Here is a 22,079-nt window from a genome sequence, read left to right on the forward strand (position 1 = left end):
CCCGAGGGAGCTGTATGAGGTCTAGTGTGGCTGGAAAGTAAAAGGGAGAGCAAGGTGGGGATCAGATCTGCTGGGCCAATAACCGCTTAAACATCATGGGTTTTATGTTGAGAGCTTGGGAAGGTTGTGTTTTTAAATGATTGCTTTGTGAATAATTGATTAGAAGGGATAAGCGTGAGAGGGGAAAGACCTATCAAGGGGCCATTGCAATAGTCCATAATCTGTGTGACAGATAATGGTAGCTTGAACTAGTGTAGAGAATGTAATGATGAGAAAAAAAGATTCCAGAGATGTTTAGAAGGTGGCACCAACAGGACTTGGTGGTTGGCTCTCCAGGAGTGAGGAGAGAGAAGTTAAGAATAATTTCAGAGGTTCAGTTTTGAGCAGCTCTGTGGTTGTTGATGCCAGTTATTGAAATAAGCCGTAGAGAATGATGTATAAGTGCCTATGTAAAATTCAAGTGGATCTCTATGGGGCAGAAGAGAACTACACTATAAGTATAAATTTAGGACTCAGTTTACTGATAAGAAATGAACCCATGTGACTGAATGAGATTACTTAGGGAGAGAAAGTTGACTGAGAATTTAGACAGAGGACACAGAGCCGAGGAATTCCAACATGCAATGCTTAGAAGAGGAGGTATGGCCAGTAGGTAGGAAAAAAAAAATAGATGGTAACTGTTAAGGTGATATGTCATGAAGCTTATCAAGACTGGTGTCTTTTTTCATTCATTCAGCAAATCTTTCTTAAGTACCTACTCTCCACTAGGCACTGTTCTAGCCACTAGAGTTATAGCAGTGAACAAGAAAATTACTCTGCGTTGCTAATGGAGCTTACATACTAATTGAGGAAGACAAACAATAAACAAATGAGATAATTTTTAGACAGTGACAAGCCAATAAAATAGAATAATGAGACAGACAATGACATGGAAGAGGTGGAGGAGAGGAGGTTACTTTAAGTAGACAGGACAGGGAAGGTCCGTCTGAGGATTTCTGAGTTGAAACCTAAATGAAAGGAAGGAAGTAACCTGGTAAAGATGTGGGAAGAACACTAAATTAGTAAGAGAAATGGCTTTGAGATTTAAAAAAAGAAGAAGAAGAAGAAGAGTGCTTAAAAAAGTATCAGTGTGGTTGATCCATAACTAAGGAGAAAAAGAGGAAAATGAGAGCAAACAGTGGAGTCTGTAAAGTCTATGTCCAATTCTCTGACATGGACCTTATAGGCTATGGTAAGGAGCATGGCTGTGTTAAAAGATCAGCACAAAAACATGGAAAATACTTAGAAGTGAACAAAGAAACCTTAGTGAGTGTAGATAGGCTTTCAGCAAATAAATTAGAAGAAGGGAGACCTCTTCTTCCAATATTTTATTTTGAATAATAACAGTTGATAATAAGTAGGTATGTAGAAATGCCATTATTAAAAAGAAACTAAAATCCAGTGACTTAACTTTTTTTCTTTTTGAGACGGAGTCTCACTCTGTCGCCCAGGCTGGAATGCAGTGGCGCGAGACTTAACTTTTTTTTGTCATTGACCTAGCTTCTAGAGACAACAATAATATAGATAGCTAAGTGATGCCTTTATTTATTTATTTTTGTTTGTTTATTTTTTTGAGATGGAGTCTCGCTCTGTGGCCCAACCTGGAGTGTGGTGGCACGATCTCGGCTCACTGCAACCTCTGCCTCCCAGGTTCAAGCGATTCTCCTGCCTCAGCCTCCCCAATAGCTGGGACTACAGGCACATGCCACCACACCCGGTTAATTTTTTGTATTTTTAGTAGAGATGGGGTTTCACCGTGTTAGTCAGGATGGTCTCGATCTCTGGACCTCGTGATCTGCCCACCTCGGCCTCCCAAAGTGCTGGGATTACAGGTGTGAGCCACCGCACCTGGCCTAAGTGATGCCTTTAGAGATGTTAACAAAGCAAGGTTACAAATATAAATTTCATTAAATATTAACCAAAATGTCAAATTGTGAAAGTTTAAATTTTGCACATTGAAGTTAGTGGAAAGAGTATGTCACCTATATTTTAAGTAGGGACAGGTAGAGGTGACAGTCTGGAAAAAGAAGCCATGGTAGAAGAAACAACGCAAAATTCCTGAGCTGCAGAAGTGGAATTGGTATGTGTTGTAGATTAAATTGTATGCAGATAGCTTCAGCCTCTACCTAGAAGGAGATATCACTTGCCTCATGAGGGTCAAGCTTAATAAGAAGACTTGCCTTATTAGCAAATGCGAAGTGAGAAGTAGCACATGCCATGCACAAGCAAAAACTTTAAGAGCCAACATGTGCCATGTTGTCAGTTTTCCCTCTGCCACAAGACTAGCAATATTCTAGATACAGCCTGCTTATCAGCTTAGGTGTCAGGGTAAGAACTACCTGGAACAGAGCCACTACTGACCTGCAGTGTACATGTATTAAGAATGAGAAATAGGCTGGGCCTGGTGGCTCATGCCCGTAATCCCAGCACTTTGGGAGGCTGAGGCAGGTGGATCACCTGAAGTCAGGAGTGCAAGACCAGCCTGGCCAACATGGTAAAACTCTGTCTCAACTAAAAATACAGAAAAATTAGCTGGGCATGGTGGCGGGTGTCTGTAATCCTAGCTACTTCGGGAGGCTGAGGCAGGAGGATCGCTTGAACCGGGAGGCGGAGGTTGCAGTGAGCCGAGATCATGCCGTTGCACTCCAGCCTGGGCAACAAGAGTGAAACTCTGTCTTGAAAAAAAAAATAGAGAAATAAACCTCTATTGTTGCAAGTGACTGGATTTGGGAGTAGTTTCTTAATGTGGCATAACCTAGCCTACCCTGACAAGTAAATAATTTGACACTGAAAGTGTGGTGACATGTTACCATAATAAAAATCCTAAAATATGTGGCATAGGATTTAGGTCCTGGCAGTAGGTGACAAAGTAACTGTTACCAGGGACTAGAAGGATGGCTATCTATATGTAATGCAGTATTGGAACATTTGGTGAAACACTTATTTCAATTAATTGGAAGGCAGTTAATGTTCCCAGTGAGCTGGTAGCTTTCAGTGAAACAGCAGGCAAAGAGTATATTAGCATGTATCAGTTACTATTGGCTACAGTTGACAAGGTAGTACAATAAAGATATGGACTCAAAATAATTGGTCAGTTTGCAAACTGTAATGACAGGGAGTAAAACATTCAGAAATTTAGAGACATGCAGAGTTGGAAGATCTGATTGATTCTCATATCTAGCTGTCTAAAATAAAGATGGGAAGGCATTTGGGCTACAAAGATGAATTGATAGGAAGATAATGGCCCAATCAAGAATGTGGCCATCATACCTTTGTTAAAACATTTCAGTAAATTAAGATGCCTTCAGTAAATCCTTTCAGCTGAACAATTTTAAAGTCTGGACAAACAGGTAAGGATGTAGCTCTCCAACCAAAGCGTGATAGGATTAAGGTGACTGACATTAAGTCTAAAGAAAGACAGAGGTATGTCTCAAAAAGAATTGTGGCTGTGGCATTGGCGCATGGAGTTGACTGAAATCAAATAGAAGTAGAGTAAGTACTGTGAAAAGAATGATCAGCATTGGATTAAAGAAACTTCATGGTTTGAAATATGAAAAGACACTTGAGCTCCTCCATCTTTTGCAGGTAGGAAGCCGGTAGAGAGACATACTCATATTCCGAGGAGGGTCTGTTCTCTAATGGCTTTCTTAAACAGCTCTAAGACAAGACTTGCCAGAGTGTGAGGCAAGAGCCACAGAGAAAATTCGACTGGAACTAATCCCGAAAAAAAATCCCAAAATGGCAAAATCAGGGCCTAAACAAGGACTGTTCCCCACTTTAAGTTAGCAGCAACTTCAAGACAGTGAAATTTCAGGACCATTCTTTACTTTCTGAGTAGTATCATTCATTGTAGTTATCCAGTTCCCATTTCACCATTGTATTTTGGGTGTTGTGGGCAAATAACTTGTCTTTGTTCTTCATAGATCTCCAGATCAAGAGGAGATATATCAAGAACAAACATAAAGACTATAGCATTATTCATAGATTGTCGACTTTGAGCAGGAAATAATGACAGTATAGGGCTTTTAAGTTATCTCCAACTTGGTGAGTGTATTTTGAGGGAGGAAAAAGACCTGAATGATTGTAATCAGAAGGACAGACTGTGGTAGATTTTCTTTTGCTTGCAAATATTTAATATTTTTACTGGTAAAAGATTATATTTTCTCTCTCTTTTGACACCAGGCTTAACCAAAGTGATTTGATTTGAGTAACGAAGAAAACAAAAGTAAAAATATTGATAATACAGAGGCCGGGTGCTGTGACTCCTGCCTGTAATCCCAGCACTTAGGGAGGCCAAAGTGGGTGGATCACCTGAGGTCAAGGGTTCAAGACCAGCCTGGCCAACATAGTGAAATCCAATCTCTACTAAAAATACAAAAATTAGCCAAGCATGGTGGTGCATGCCTATAGTCCCAGCTACTTGGGAGGCTGAGGCAGAAGAATCACTTGAACCTGGGAGGGGGAGGTTGCAGTGAGCCGAGATCATACCACTGCACTCCAGCCTAGGCAACAGACCAAGACTTTGCCTCAAACAACAACAACAACAACAAAAATTGATAATACAGAAAGAATTAAGACTGTGGGGCCTGTGAAGAGTTTAATGAAGACTGTGACGTTGTACTGGGCTGTGCAGAATGATCAGGCCAAAAAAGAAGGGGAATTGAATTTCATAGGATGAAACAGTCTGAACAAGGCAGAGAAATGAAGTTCATAATATAAGTGCATAGTGTGTGGAAGAAATTGAGATGAGTTCAGTGTGATGGGGGTGTGGATTGCATAGGAAGTAGTTGTAAGAAATGAAACTGAAGCCAGGCACAATGGCTCACACCTGTAATCCCAGCACTTTGGGAGGCTGAGGCAGGTGGATCACTTGAGGTCAGGAGTTTGAGACCAGCCTGGCCAACATAGTGAATCCCTGTCTCTACTAAAAATACAAAAATTAGCCAGGTGTGGTGGCATGCGACTGTAGTCCCAGCTACTCAGGAGGCTGAGGGAGGAGAGTCGCTTGAACTCGGGAGGCAGAGGTTGCGGTGAGCCAAGATCGTGCCAATGCACCCTAGCTCTGAGCAACAGAGCAAGACTCGGTCTCAAAAAAAATAGATTTGGGGCTTTATCCATTAGGCAGCAAAGACTTATAAAACATTTTGCATCTAAGCACAGAATAAAACAACTGCAGGACATAAATTGGAGATATCTTTGCCCCATCTCCTCTGAGACTTGGACTTGTGCTCTCTGGATTTCTTCTTCTTGTGTTTGATTTAATTTTGTGAATAATTTTAAAATACAAAAAATATATAAATATTAGTTGTCCAAATTAAATGTAAGACATGGCAAATAGCTCTAAAAATCCTATGCAGTATATCAGTAGCACCCAAGGTAAAGTATTTGTCTTGCATACTTTTCCTGATGTTTCAGGCCTAGAAAATTCTACAAGGTATGGTGATTATGTGTTACTATCAGTGTGTGACAGTGAAGAATTAGTTTCTGTAGAGAGAAGTCATTTGATAAGTGAGTCATGGAGTATAATTATATTAATGCAAATTGAAGACAGTATCTTATATTTTTTATTCTGTTTGCATTTAAGCACTTAATTATTTTTCTAGTAGATAAATTGACAACTGGTTGTTTTACTGATAACACAAATACAAATTATACCTTCACTTGTTAATAAAGATTCTACAGCTATCCTTAATCTAAAAACAAATATGTTCTTCCACTAGTATTGTGGTTATTTGGCATAAACTGTATTTAATTATAAAATTTCTATTAGAAAAATGAAAACATTTTTTGGTCCGTGGAAGTTTACTTCTACCATCATAAATCTCAAAGCTTCACACATTGTCATGAATTTAAATTAAATACCTGAAGCACTTGATGTACAAAATTCAATGAATACTAAAAAGCGTAGAGACTCTAGCAATTTTAAGTAGTGGTACTTCTTTTCACTGAAACCTTCTGGTTAAATAGTATTTTAGGAAAACTCTGTCTATGAATTTTGGAATATTATACCAAAGACCTAGGTCTTCAGTTTATAGGCTTTTTAGATTACCTATGTTCTATTCCTCTTCTATGATGCCACTTATTATTTCTCTGCAATTTTTATCTTTTTAAAAAAAATCCATCCATTCATTCAGTCATTTGTTCACTTATCTTATTCACTTATTAAACATATATTGAGTGCCTACTATATACTGTTCATTATGTTGAGTGCTCAGGATAAGGAGATTAACTCACTGGTGTCTTCCTTCAACACTTTTAGTCTAGTGGGGAGGTACATAAATATTACAAAGGTTTAGGATAAGCCGTGCAATAGGCACTTGTATATGACTTAGGTTATGGGTATATAGTGGTGCTACTTACCAAGATCAGGAATATGAAGTCATTTTTGGAAATGTTGAGTCTAGGATAGCTGTGGAATATCCTCAATTAGAGATACTCTGAAGGCAGGCAGAAACATCACTCAAGCTCGTGAGAGAAGTTTAGGCTGGGGTTACAATTTAAACATAAATAGCATGTAAGTGAGAGTTAATACAATGGAAATTCATGAGCATGTTTGTAAAGAATGTGTAAAATGGAAAGTGTAAGAAGAGAAGAGGCTGAATGCTCAAACCCTAGAGAGAACATGAACAAATGAGGACCAGGCTAGGAAGAGTAAGTAAAGAAAAGTTAGAACAAGTCAGAAATGTAAGCACTTATATTAGTCAGGGCTCAACCAGAGAAGCAGAGCTCCTAGGATGTATACATATATAATTAGAGATTTATTATAAAGAATTGACATTATGCAATTGTGGGAGATATGTTTCCTTTACAGCCTGCAGTCATTAGGGGACACAGTCAAAAAGGGAAGCAGCACATAAAACAGAGGAGCAAAAACACATCAGAACCTGTGGGGATAGTGGGATCCATGAGGACACAAAGACCCCATTGGTCTCTTGTTACTTTCAAACTCCCAACCTCAGTGATGTGGGTGTCCTTCAGGAGAAGCTACAGCTCCTTGTTACAGAACTAAATACAAACCAGGTCCAGAAGTATAGAAATTAAAAGAAGAATTTGGCAAGAACAGGAGTCCTAAGAGGTGTCAAAGGATTTCATGCATTCCAGACATACTCTTTTGAAACCCCATTAAGTTGTATACCCCAAATTCTCCTTAATAATCAGGATCAGTCACCCAAGTTAATGGAATAACCTCTTATTTGCCTATTGATTGAGTGACTTGAGGACCCCAAAGTGACCAGTCTCAACTTCTAGTGTAATGGAATCATTGCCATATCTCCTAATAAAAGGATTTATTCCTTAAAACTAAGATTTCTAGACCAGCAAAGCCCAAAGTTGCTAGGTTGGGAATTTCACCAGTGAATCACTAGAAGTAATAGTAAGAAGTGCACTGCCATATATACTCCTTGATTCTCCTGCTATTTTCATTGAAAATAGCAGCATATATTGCTCATGAATTTAGAGTATACACCATATACTAGAAGATATTATTGCAGCTCTCCAAGGTGTTGCTCTCAACTGGCCCTGTAACTGAGCCTAATAATTCTGTTAGGTCAATTGTTCCAGAGTGATGGAGCATGTAATAAGACCAGTGAATGACTATGAGTCCATCACCATATTACATTTGCTAGAAATTGAGTTTGTTAGAAGCAATACTATGTAGAATATTATTATAGTAAAGCATTTTATAAGTCCATGGATGCACTGCAGGCAAGGAAGGCAAATTCATGCCCACAGTGTCTATGCCAATGACAACAAAACATTTTCCCTTCCATGATTATTCATATCCTCCTCTACTGCAACAGCTCTTTGATTAGCATCCATTTGGAATACAAATATCTTCACATGCTGTGCCAACTCAGAAACATCTATCCATATATCTCTTTCTCAGATCTTGTTACCAATTTTCCAATTATATTCCTTCCAAATCCCTGGTCATCCAATGGAAATATTAGCCACACCCACTAGTAAACGTAGAGCCATACCTCTGGCCATCCTTCCTTCCAAACAAACTGAATATCAAGGAGAACTGCTAAAAGTTCCACCTTCTGGGATGATTATCTTTTACTACTGTCTTTCAGGGCCAATCCAGAGTGGGACTATAGTGCTACAACTGTCTACTTTGGGGTATTGATAACATTTCATATAAAACCATCTGTAAACCAACTTCACATATTGGTTCTTCAATTAAATGGGAATGGAGAACACTCCATGGAATCATACATGCATGTTGAGAGGGGAGGAGGCACTATTGCAGGAATCTGGACCGTAGGCATTTGTGACACTTACTCCTGCAACTTACTTATGCCTTCAGGACCTGCTCAAATCCTAGTTTCTGCTATTTCCAATTGGTGATGTAATGTGGCTGTTCACGTACAATCTTATGGCTTTGTTTGTCAGAAAAGACCCAGTTCATGATGAACTTGCTTCAAGCACCAACAGATATGCTGTGTTATGTATCTCAGCTGAAAAGCAATTTGCATGGCAGCCTAGACTTGTTGCAGATCTTTGTTTTGTTCTGGGTCCCACCCAAAACTAGCAGCTTTTCAGGTTGCTCAGTAAATGCATAAGAGTAGCACACTCAATGAAGTAAATGTTGCCTCCCAAATCCAAAGAGGCCTAAATGGTATTATGCCCCTTCAAGGTTGAGAGAAGCCAGATGCAGTAACTTGTCCTTCACTTTAAAAAGGACGTATTGGGCCAGGCACAGTGGCTCATGCCTGCAATCCCAGCACTTTGGGAGAACAAGGCAGGCGAATCACTTGAGGTCAGGAGTTAAAGACCAGCCTGGCCAACATGGTGAAACCCTGTCTCTACTAAAAACACAAAAATTAGTCAGGCGTGGTGGCACATACCTATGATCCCAGTTACTCAGGAGGCTGAAACAGGAAAATCACTTGAACCTGGGAGGTGGAGGTTGCAGTGAGCCAAGATCATGCCACTGCACCAGCCTGGGTGACAGAGTGAGACTCTGTCTCAAAAATAAATAAATAAAAATAAAAAGGACATACTGACATGTCCCAGTGAAACAGGTCAGCGTCACTGGTCTCGTCTAAGGTGTTATCTGAGCTGGTCATTACATGACCAAGAGAATTAAGGAGCATGGACACAAATGGTGAGGCTGGAGCAAAAGTTTAATAAGCAAAAGAAGAAAGCTCTCCATAGCAGAGAGGGGAGCCCAAGTGGGTTGCTGTTTTTACAGTCAAATTCAAAAGCTTTTAAAAGAAACTCCTCTCTGTAGCTGTCTGAGTAACTTCTCTTATCTGAAAAGCTATCTGCACAACTCCTCCTCATCTATATAGTTGTGCATATGACTCTAGGCAAGCACAAAGTGCTGCTTCACTTGTTTGTATAACTGCTGGTTTGTTTTAGGTAAGTGCCCCCGATCCCTGTGCAAGTTCCCATTGGAGCCCATGGTGTATATGCCTGAGAAGGGGAGGAAGCTTTTCCTGGGAACCTGCTAATCACACAAAGAACAAAAGGCCTCTGTGTTGGAACTCGTCTGCCTTGCCTGCTTATCTGTGCAGGTGCATTCTGAGTTTTCCTCAGGCTGCTCTATTTTTGCCTGTAGCTGTGATTTTTCAGGCAGGCTGCTTCTCCAAGGAACAGCCTTAACTGATGTTTCCTTTTCTTCTCCCTCATCAGACCAATGGGACCTAGACATTTCCCTGAGATGGTAGAAACCTGATTATTTGTCAGATTTGCTTCCCACCACCTGTCCTACATGTATCTTACCAACACGTCTAGAGTAGTTGTTAACTTCCTTCTTACTAGGTCCAATTAACATCATAAAGGCATACCCAAGAGTGGGCAATTTACAAAACAAAGAGGTTTAATGGACTTACAGTTCCAGATGGCTGGGGAGGCCTCACAATCATGGTGGAAGGCAAGGAGGAGCAAGTCATGTCTTACATGGATGGCAGCAGGCAAAGAGAGAGAACTTGTGCAGGGAAACTCCCTCGTATAAAACCATCAGATCTCGTAAGACTTATTTACTATCATGAGAACACCATGGGAAAGACCTGCCCCCATGGTTCAATTACCTTCCACCGGGTCCCTTCCACAACATGTGGAAATTCAAGATGAGATTTGGGTGGAGACACAGCCAAACCATATCAATGACATCATCCATGTAACTGGCCAGCATGATTTTCTGTGAAATAAAGACACAGTGAAGGCTCTGCAAAAGAGCCTGACTGGCATAGTCCTGAGACTAGACAGTCAAGGTGTGTTACTAACTAACAGAAAGCAAACTACTTTTGATGGTCCTTAATGACAGCTATAGATAAAAGCCTTTGCCAGTGCAATTATTGAACACCAGAAGCCATGGTATGTGTTGATTTTCTCCAGCAACGAAACCACATCTAGAATTGCAGCTGCAGGGCTGGGTGCAGTGGCTCATGCCTGTAATCCCACATTTTGGGAAGCCAAGGCGGGTAGATCACCTGAAGTCAGGAGTTTGAGACCAGCCTGACCAAGACGGTGAAACCCCGTCTCTATTAAAAATACAAAAATTAGCTGGGCTTGGTGGCAGGTGCCTGTAATCCTAGTTACTTGGGAAGCTGAGGCAGGAGAATTGCTTGAAACTGGGAGGTGGAGGTTGCAGTGAGCTGAGATTGCACCATTGCACTCCAGTCTGGATGACAGAGCGAGATGTTGTCTCAAAATTAAAAAAAAAAGAATTGCAGCTGCAATGAAAATTGTCACCTGATTAAGTTTACAGTAATTCACTGTCATTCTCCAAGATCCGTGTTTCTTTTTCACAGCCCCAGTAAGAAAGTTAAATGTGGTCGACCTAAGAATTGCTACCCTGTGTCTTTTAAATTCATGATGGCAGCATTAATCCTTTCAGTCTTCCAGTCCTAAAACTTTCTGCTTATACATCAAGATTTTAGTAGGTTTACCATCTATTTTGGTTCTAGAAACTCCACAATCAACTAGCCAATGCTGTACATTTTGCAGCTACTATTCTTATTACTGCTTTGGCTCTGTGGCCTAATACAATAACCATGCCTACCTTGTATTTAATAATTTATATGTCACCACATGGTGCCTACCACCATCTGATCTCATCAACAGGAGTGATTCCTCCACTGAATTCAGAGAGCCTAGTCCAGGGCTTCTCTCACAAATCATATTTCTTAAAACTTTGAGTGCCCTCTGGACCCTCACAGGGGAAATATTCAGTGAATGGGCAAGCAAGTGTTACATGTCTTACATGGTAAATCCACTTTATCATTCTAATGTTCCTGAGTCTTTTGGTTGCTTTGTTTGTTCTTGAAGATTGAAGGGGTACAAGTGCAGTTTTGTTATGTAATAGCAAAGTTTGGGCTTCTAGTGTACCCATCACCCAAATAGTGAACATTGTACTCAATAGGTAATTTTTTAACCTTCATGCCCCCCTCAACTTTACCTTCCCATCCTTCTGAGTCTCCAGAGTCTATTATTTCACTCTCCATGTCCATGTATACACTTATTTAGCTCCCACTTATAAGTGAAAGCATGTGATATTTGACTTTCTGTTTCTGAGTTATTTACTTAAGATAGTGGCCTCTAGTTCCATCCATGTTGCTGCAAAATATTAATACCTGTGCTCATTTTTTTTAGGGCTGAGTGGAATTACATGGAGATATATATATATATAATCTCACATTTTCTTTATCCAAGTATCTTTTGATGGACACTTAGGTTGTTTCCATATCTTTGCTGTTATAAATAGTGCTGCAATAAACATGTAAGTGCAGGTATCTTTTTTTTTCCTTTTGAGACAGAGTTTCACTCTCGTCTCCCAGGCTGGAGTGCAATAGCACAATCTCAGCTCACTGCAAGCTCCACCTCTTGGGTTCCAGTGATTCTCCTACCTCAGCCTCCTGAGGAGCTGGGATTACAGGCACCTGCCACCATGCCTGGCTAATTTTTGTATTTTTAGTACAGAAGGGGTTTCACTATATTGGCCAGGTTGGTCTCACACTCCTGACCTCAGGTGATTGCCTGCCTTGGCCTCTCATGAGCCACCATGACCGGCTGCAGGTATCATTTTCATGTAATGATTTCTTTTCCTTTGGGTAAATACCCCATAGTGGGACTACTAGATTGAATTGTAATTCTATGTTTAGTTCTTTGAGAAATCTCCATACTGTTTTCCATAGAGGTTATACTGATTTATATTCCCACTAACAGTGTATAAGTGTTCCCTTTTCTCCTCTTTGCCAATGTATGTTATTTTTTTACTTTCTAATAATAGCCATTCTGACTGGTGTAAGATGATATCTCATTGTGGTTTTAATTTGCATTTCTTTGATGATCAGTGGTGTTGAGTATTTTTTCCTATGCTTGTTAGCCATTTGTATGTCTTCTTTTGAAAAATGTCTGTTCGTGTTTATTGCCCACTTTTTTTTTTTTTTTGAGACAGAATCTCGCTCTGTCACCCAGGCTGGAATGCAGTAGTGTGATCTCTGCTCACTGCAAGCTCCACCTCCCGGGTTCATGCCATTCTTCTGCCTCCTGAGTAGCCTCCCGAGTAGCTGGGACTACAGGCGCCCGCCACCATGCCTGGCTAATTTTTTTGTATTTTTAGTAGAGACGGGGTTTCACCGTGTTAGCCAGGATGGTCTCGATCTCCTGACCTTGTGATCCGCCTGCCTCGGCCTCCCAAGGTGCTGGGATTACAGGCATGAGCCACTGCACCTGGCCTATTGCCCACTTTTTAATGGGGCTGTTTGTTTCTTTTGTTGTTGAGTTGTTGAGTTCCTTGTAGATTCTAGGTAATATTCCTGAGTCATTTGATACCATCCTTTCTGTGGCACCAGGAAAGTTTTGGCAATTTAACTCCCTTAAGTGTAGGCTACCTTTTAGCCCAGGTTTTAGTTAATCAACAAATAAACTGTTAGAGTCACTCCCAACCCCTCAGACAAACACACTAAATCTGGAATCTCTGCTAGTGAAGCCATGTTAATAAACTGAGTTTAATGCAAGTTTATATTCCCTCCACCCTGATACCACACTCTTTTTTTTTTTTTGAGACAGGGTCTCGCTCTGTCACCCAGGCTGGAGTGCAGTGGCATGATCTCGGCTCACTGCAAGCTCCACCTCCCGGGTACCTCAGCCTCCTGAGTAGCTGGGATTACAGGTGCCCGCCACCTCGCCTGGCTAATTTTTTGTATTTTTAGTAGAGATGGGGTTTCACCATGTTAGCCAGGATGGTCTCGATCTCCTGACCTCGTGATCCGCCCACCTCGGCCTCCCAAAGTGCTGGGATTACAGGCTTGAGCCACTGCGCCCAGCTGATATCACACTCTTAAGATCCATCCCCATACAGTTTCACCAGTATCTGTGAAAATTGACAAAATCAGCCAATTCTTTTGGTGTGTATTGTTCGTCCTAAGTTTGTGTCTCACACATTGGAGTCTACTTTCACCTGAGTCTGATTACAGATTTGGAAGCAATGAGAGGTGGTAAAGGTAGATTGTCAGAAGGAATAGTAGTCCCTTGTAAGGCAACTATCTCAGGGGAAGCTAATACAGTTCTTCAGGCAGGGGTAGACTGACAACTTGCCCAGAATTTCAGGCTCAAAATTATCGCCTTCATCAGAATCTACTCATATGTCCCCATCCCAATTTTCAGGGATGTCTTAATTTTATTAGGTTGGTGCAAAAGTAATGGCAGTTTTTGCCATTAAAAGCAAACTCTAGGCCAGGCGTGGTGGCTTGTGCCTGTAATCCCAGCACTTTGGGAGGCCAAGGCAGGTGGATCACCTGAGGTCAGGAGTTTGAGACCAACCTGGTCAACAGGGTGAAACCCCGTCTCTACTAAAAATACAAAAAAAATTTGCCGGGCATGGTGGTGGGTGCCTGTAATCCCAGCTACTCGGGAGGCCAAGTCAGGAGAATCGCTTGAACCTAGGAGGCAGAGGTTGCAGTGAGCTGAGATCATGCCATTGCACTCCAGCCTGGGTGACAAGAGTGAAACTCCATCTTAAAAAAAAAAAAGTAAACTCTACAAGGCTGGAAATTTAATTTGCAATGTTTCAGCCATCCATAGAGTTTAGATTTTGGTTTGGTTAGATTTTGAGTTTGGTTTTCTATAATACAATTTCTATGGCTATAAGATATAAAGATTTCTTTTAGAAAAGTCTAAGAAGATTTCAGGTCATTTATAGGGCCTTTGAGCCCATTCTTTCTTACTTCTGAGTGCTGGAGAACACTTATAAGCAACTCCATTATAGCCTTTTATCCACTAAAATGTTCTGTGACAGCAAATAGTCATTCAATTAAGGCTAAGGAAGACAACTTACAATAAGGTAAAGGTAATAAAAAATAAAGCTACAGATAAATCTTAATAAAAACTGAGTGTCTGGGCATGGTGGCACATGCCTGTAGCCCAGTTACTGAGGAGGCTGAGGTGGAAGGGTTGCCTAAGCCCAGGAATTCAAATCCAGCCTGGGCAACATAGCAAGACCCCGTCTTAAAAAAACAAACAAATAAATAAGTAAATGAGTTTAATTAACTCATCTATTAAAAAAAACTAAGGATGGTATAATAAAAGGCACAGAAGAAATTTTTAAAAGTTATGATGCATCTAATGACATTTTTATAAAATAACACTTTTATAAGAAAATACACGTAAACATAGTTGGCCCATGGTGAGGTTAAATAAATTAAATCAATAATGGAAGAAATTGAGAACACTCAAATAATGTTTAAGAGTATTTGTCAAAATGGTTTCATAAGCAAAGTGCTGTATCTTCAAGGTATAGATAATTCCTATGCTATTAAATCTATCTCAAAACATTGAAAAAGTAACTTTCCAAATTCACATTACAAAGGTCATAACAAAACTTGACAAGAATAGACAAACTATGCTTTCTTTAATCTCAACCAGATTAGTTGCAGCAGTTTTATCAAATAAATATCAGATCTCTCAAAATGTGAGGCCCTATGAAATATTGTGAGTTAAAATTACTTGATTTTCCGTCTGGGAAGTGGGGAGCGCCTCGGCCCAGCTGCTGGCTGCCGTGCAACCCTCTAGGTGTGAAGTGGCAGCTCTGTGTGGGATCTTTCTGCCCTCCCTAAGTTTGCATTTTCGACAGTAAAGTTTACTTTTAAATTAAAAGATTTAATTTGAGGAAGATTTTAAAAAATTACTTGATTTTAAAACTGTGCACGGACTTTCACTTTCAGAATTGACAGGCTAGGTTATTCAAATGGTTCAGACCATGGTTTTTTGTTCAAAGACATTGGGAAAGTGTAATGAGTTGAATAGTGTCCTTCCAAAATTCATGAACACCTAGAACCTCAGAATGTGAACTTATTTGGAAATAGGGTCTTTGCATACGTAATTAATCCGGTGAGTTCATACTGGATTGGGGTGGGCCCTGAATCAAATGACTTGGTATCCTTATAAGAAGAGGGAGGGACACACAGACACAGACACACACAGAGAAAGCCAAGTGAAGACAGAGGCCGAGACTGGAGTTATGCTACCACAAGCCCAGGAACACCAGAAGCCAGTAGGAACTGGAAGATAGAAAGAAGAATTCCCCTCTAGAGCCTTTGGAGGGAGTGTGGTCCTGTTCACGCCTTTGTTTCAGATTTCTGACTTCCAAAACTGTGAGAAAATAAATTCCTGTTGTTTTAAGCCACCCAGTTTGTAATGATTTTTACAGCAGTCCTAGAAAACAAATGTAGATTTCGGTATCAGAAGTGATTTGCTGCTGTTAACAGATACCTAAACATGAGTTGGTAGAAATATAAATGTTAACGTGCATCTGGGAAGGTCTCAGAAATAAATGAACATGTTGTTGGACACAAATTTGAAAATAGGCTTAGATTCAAGATAATGACTACCCTTAGGTAAGCAAGAGGGGCTCAAGAGAGGCTTCTTTGGTGTTGATGTGGATGGTGTTTATAAGGGTGTTTACTTCATGATGATTATTTGATCTATACATTTACTTATTTGTTTTTCATTTTTTTCTGTTATATTTTCCAATAAATTTTTAAAAACTGTTGTATAGATTTAGAACAATGTTAAGGAGTTTGCTTATGATTTGTCACTTAGAGATCTGATTGATTTAAAAGAGCAGAAGGTATCACTGTGCATTTTTGTTTGTTTGAAAGCTTCTCCACCTTTTCAGTTGATGACATGAAACCTCCTGTTCCTAACTAACCTTATTTGTCTGTCTAATATATAATATTGTATGCTTTACGACGTTGCTCTACTGATGCTGTCTTTGCCCATCTGTTTTGCTTTCTTGGGACTTGCCCCTTGTGAAAAACGTCTCCAAAGCCTGCCATTCATATGCACTGAAACATGAGTAAATACCTCAGCTTGTCTAGGAGATCTGTCTAATAAACTGCTATTGTAGCAAAAATTGAAGTACTCACTTGCCACTTTTGTCTTTTCTCCATGCAGAACAAATACTGATGGCATCTCACAGTATTGTGTTTATTTAAAAACAAGTTGTATTACAACATGGATGAGCCATGGAAACATTATGCTAAGTGAAAGAAACCAGACGCATAAGACCACTTATTTTTTATTTCATTTAAATGAAATATCTACAATACGAAAATTCCTCAAGACAGAACATAGATTAGTGATTATCAAGGTCTACGTGTAGGGGAAATGAGGAGTAACTGCGAATGGATATGGGGTTTCTTTTGAGGTTGATGTAAGTGTTCTGGAATTAGATAGTGGTGATGGTTGTACATTTTTTATATACTAAAAATCACTGAATTGTAAACCATGAAAGGGTAAATTTTATGGTATGTGAATTATATCTCAATAAAGCTGTTATAAAAACTCAGCCCTGAGCCAATCACTTTAAAAAAAAAAAGCTCATCTTGTTGCTATGTCTAGAGAGATGACTGACTGGCTAGGGCACAAAGGTAGAATGAAAATTTCGCTTTCATGGTACTCTTTTGTGCATTTAAACATTTTATACCATGTATACATATTATCTATAAAAATTAATTAACTTAAAACAATTTTTAATATTATCCATTTGCTAAATATGTGGAAAGTTTTTACTCATGTAATACCAAAGTCAATCCATGCTACCTAAATATTGAAGAAAATTCTGTAGTCAGTATTTTAACATAATTTGAAAACAGATTATCAATGAACTCTTTATTAGAAAATATTGAAATGATTTTAGAAGTTGCCAGCCATCCAGAGTTGTAGTTGAGAATTCTGATTCCTATTCCTTTGTAAATATCCTGACTTTTCTTTCTGGGAGTACTTATGATTTTCCTGAAGTTCAGAAATTTCAGCACAATGTTTTCTTGCTTTATCAATACTCTTTTCTCTTGGATATCTCTGAAAATATGAACTACAGCAAGATAAAATGAGCCATTCTCCATAACAAAGGATTTATGATCTCTTTAAGTGATCATAAATGTTAGCTGTTTGGCCAACTGCTTACTTCTGTAGTTTTATTTTATTTTCTAGAGACAGGGTCTCATTTTGTCACCCAGGCTGGAGTACAGTGGTACCATTGCATCTCACTGTGTCCTCAAACACCTGGGCTCAAGTGACCTTCTCACCTCAGTCTCCCTAGTAGCTGGGACTTCAGGTGAGCATCACCATGCCCTGCTAACTGATTTTTTTTCTTTTTTTGTAGAGATGGGGTCTCACTATGTTGCCCAGGGTTACTGCCATACTTGTGGATTGCCAGGTTAACTCTGCAAGGTAAGAAGGAATTCCTTTGGACGATGTAGGAGTCTTTTTAAAACGCGTATCAGTCAAAGTACAGTATAGTAGAAACCAAAACCACTCTTTTTTTGAGCAGAAAAAATTTAGTAGATGGAGTTAGATATAAACTCAATGTCTAACCTGGAGAAGAAGTTAGGGAGCTGCTTCCTGAATTTTGGCTCTGAGGCTACACAACTGTATTTGCAATCCAAATGTCAGAAAGCTGATGCTGTTAATGTTTTTGTGGCTGCCCAAACCATAACCACCTAACAGCCACAACACTCATATCTAGACACTGGAACAAGTCAGCTAGTCATTCCATATTGGAACTCATGCCTATTGGAGTTTGTTTGTCCACATCTACACCTGCAGAAAGTTTGCTATTACCTCCCTCCTATTTTCTAAATATCACAGGATCCCTTGTGTGTTGCCTCACCAGCTGGAAACCTCTATGGGCAGCGGCGATGCAACTCTGCTTGAGTTTTGTTCATGCCTGCTGGGCTCATTCTGCCCATTCAGCCTGTCAGGCTGCACTCAGCTCATGCTACTGGCTCAGATCCCATGCCCACTGAGGATGAGCCAAGCAGAGTGGTGAGAGGTATGTGAGTGAGTGAGTGTGGGGTCTGGCCACTGCGCATAGCCAGGCGCACCAACTGCTGCATGTGGGGTGGGCAGTTCCAGGTGCCAGCATAGGCACCGGCTCTCTGTGAGGCTGTAGCTGGACCAGGCGTACTGCAAGTGGTTTATGCTGTGGGTACCGGCATCTGGATGAGGGGAACACGATGGTGCCCCAAAACTTGGAGATGCCAGCAATGGCAGAGCCCCAAGAGTTGGGGAGGGGATATTACAGATCTCTTGTTCCTGCCATCCATGGCACAGCGAGCCAGCCAGGAAAGTGGTGTTTCAGCCATTCAGTGAGTCCTGAGTTCTTGTCCCACATCCAGGAAGAATGAGGTTATGTGGACAACTGGAGGGTGAGCAAGGCAGAGAAGAGCTTTATTTATTTTTTTTAATTTTTATTTTTTAATATACATAGAAAGTTTATCTGGGCCAAGCTTGCAGATTGCAATGCAGGAGCACAGATTCAAGTTGCCCTGAATATACTCCAACAAGCAGTAGTTACAAGTGGATTTTAAAAAAATTATTATTATACTTAAAGTTCTAGGGTACATGTACACAACGTGCAGGTTTGTTACATAGGTATACATGTGCCATGTTGGTTTGCTGCACCCATCAACTCGTCATTTACATTAGGTATTTCTCCCAACACTATCCCTTCTCCAGCACCCCACCCCCCTACAGGCCTCAGTGTGAGATGTTCCCCATCCTGTGTCCATGTGTTCTCCTTGTTCAACTCCCACTTATGACTGAGAACAGGTGGTGTTTGGTTTTCTGTCCTTGTGATAGTTTGCTGAGAATGATGGTTCCAACTTCATCCATGTCCCTGCAAAGGACATGAACTCATCCTTTTTTATGACTGCATAGTATTCCACGGTGTATATGTGCCACATTTTCTTTATCCAGTCTATTATTGATGGACATTTGGGTTGGCTCCAAGTCTTTGCTATTGTGAATAGTGCTGCAATAAACACACATGTGCATGTGTCTTTATAGAATGATTTATAATCCTTTGGGTATATACCCAGTAATGGGATTGCTGTGTCAAATGGTATTTCTAGTTCTAGATCCTTGAAGAATCGCCACACTGTCTTCCACAATGGTTGAACTAGTTTACAGTCTCACCAACAGTATAAAAGCGTTCCTATTTCTCCACATCCTCTCCAGCATCTGTTGTTTCCTGACTTTTTTAATGATTGCCATTGTAACTGGCATGAGGTTGTATCTCCTTGTGGTTTTGATTTTCATTTCTCTGATGACCAGTGATGATGAGCATTTTTTCATGTGTCTGTTGGCTGCATAAATGTCTTCTTTTGAGAAGTGTCTGTTCATATCCTTTGCCCACTTTTTGATGGGTTTTTTTTTTCTTGTAAATTTAAGTTCTTTGTAGATTCTGGATATTTGCCCATTGTCAGATGGAAAGATTGAAAAATTTTCTCCCATTTTGTAGATTGCCTGTTCACTCTGATGATAGTTTCTTTTTCTGTGCAGAAGTTCTTTAGTTTAATTATATCCCATTTGTCAATTTTGGCTTTTGTTGCCATTGCTTTTGGTGTTTTAGTCATGAAGTCTTTGCCCATGCCTGGGTCCTGAATGGTATTGCCCATGTTTTCTTCTAAGGTTTTTATGGTTTTAGGTGTTACATTTAAGTCTTTAATCCATCTTGAGTTAATTTTTGTGTAAGTGTAAGGACAGGGTCCAGTATCAGCTTTCTACATATGGCTAGCCAGTTTTCCCAGCAACATTTATTAAATAGGGAATCCTTTTCCCATTGCTTGTTTTTGTCAGGTTTGTCAAAGATCAGATGGTTGTAGATGTATGGTGTTATTTCTGAGGCTTCTGTTCTGTTCCATTTGTCTATTTATCTGTTTTGGTACCAGTACCAAGCTGTTTTGGTTACTGTAGGCTTGTGGTATAGTCTGAAGTCAGGTATGCCTCCATGTTTGTTCTTTTTGCTTAGGATTGTCTTGGCTATGCGGGCTGTTTTTGGTGCCATATGAAATTTAAAGTAGCTTTTTCCAATTCTGTGAAAAAAATCAGTGGTAGCTTTATGGGGATAGCATTGAATCTATAAATTACTTTGGGCAGTATGGCCATTTTCACAATATTGATTCTTCCTATCCATGAGCATGGAATGTTCTTCCATTTGTTTGTGTCCTCTTTTATTTTGTTGAGCAGTGGTTTGTAGTTCTCCATGAAGAGGTCCTTCACATCCCTTGTAAGTTGCATTCCTAGGTATTTTATTCTCTTTGTAGTAATTGTGAACGGGAGTTCACTTGTGATTTGGATCTCTGTTTTTCTGTTCTTGGTGTATAGGAATGCTTGTCATTTTTGCACCTTGATTTTGTATCCTGAGACTTTGCTGAAGTTGCTTGTCAGCAAACTTCAGCCCAAAAGGAGATTTTGGGCTGAGATGATGGGGTTTTCTAAATATACAATCATGTCATCTGCAAACAGGGGCAATTTGACTTCCTCTTTTCCTAATTGAATACCTTTTATTGCTTTCTCTTGCCTGATTGCCCTGGCCAGAACTTTCAATACTATGTTGAATAGGAGAGGTGAGAGAGGGCATCCTTGTGTTGTGCAGCTTTTCAAAGGGAATGCTTCCAGTTTTTGCCTATTCAGTATGATATTGGGTGTGAGTTTGTCATAAATGGCTTTTATTATTTTGAGATATGTTCCATCAATACCTAGTTTACTGAGAATTTTTAGCATGAAAGGCTGTTGAATTTTGTCAGCCTTTTCTGCATCTATTGAGATAATCATGTGGTTTTTGCCATTGGTTCTGTTTATGTGATGGATTATGTTTATTGATTTGTGTATGTTGAACCAGCCTTGCATCCCAGGGATGAAGCCAACTTGATCATGGTGGATAAGCTTTTCAATGTGCTGCTGGATTCAGTTTGCCAGTATATTATTGAGGATTTTTGCATCAATGTTCATTGGGGATATTGGCCTGCAATTCTTTTTGTTGTATCTCTGCCAGGCTTTGGTATCAGGATGATGCTGGCCTCATAAAATGAGTTAGGGAGGATTCCCTCTTTTTCTATTGATTGGAATAGTTTCAGAAGGAATGGTACCAGCTCCTCTTTGTACCTCTGGTAGAATTTGGCTGTGAATCTGTCTGGTCCTGGACTTTTTTTTGGTTGGTAGCTTATTAATTATTGTGTCAATTTCAGAACCTGTTATTGGTCTATTCAGAGATTCAACTTCTTCCTGGTTTAGTCTTGGGAGGGGTATGTTTCCAGGAATGTATCCATTTCTTCTAGATTTTCTAGTTTATTTGCACAGAGGTGTTTATAGTATTCTCTGATGGTAGTTTATATTTCTGTGGGATCAGCGGTGATATCCCCTTTATAATTTTTTATTGCATCTATTTGATTCTTCCCTCTTTTCTTCTTTATTAATCTTGCTAGCAGTCTATCTATTTTGTTGATCTTTTAAAAAAACAGCTCCTGGATTCATTGATTTTTTTCTTGAAGAGTTTTTTGTGTCTCTATCTTCTTCAGTTCTGCTCTGATCTTAGTTATTTCTTGTCTTCTGCTAGCTTTTGAGTTTGTTTGCTCTTGCTTCTCTAGTTCTTTTAATTGTGATGTTAGGGTGTCGATATTAGATCTTTTCTGCTTTCTCTTGTGGGCATTTAGGGTTACAAATTTCCCTCTACACACTGCTTTAAATGTGTCCCAGAGATTCTGGTACATTGTGTCTTTGTTCTTATTGGTTTCAAAGAACATCTT

The 22,079-nt window shown here is 39.8% G+C and overlaps 1 long non-coding RNA gene across 1 annotated transcript in view; it reads left to right on the top strand.

The window, feature by feature from the left end:
* LOC107986767 (uncharacterized) overlaps positions 1-22,079 on the top strand; it is a 28,179-nt gene that overhangs the window by 978 nt on the left and 5,122 nt on the right. The window contains exon 2 of the long non-coding RNA XR_001745091.3: positions 17,654-17,721. This is a non-coding gene — a long non-coding RNA (uncharacterized LOC107986767). The remainder of the gene's footprint in view (positions 1-17,653; positions 17,722-22,079) is intronic.

Source organism: Homo sapiens, chromosome 7 (genome assembly GCF_000001405.40).
Source record: "Homo sapiens chromosome 7, GRCh38.p14 Primary Assembly".
NCBI lineage: Eukaryota > Metazoa > Chordata > Mammalia > Primates > Hominidae > Homo > Homo sapiens.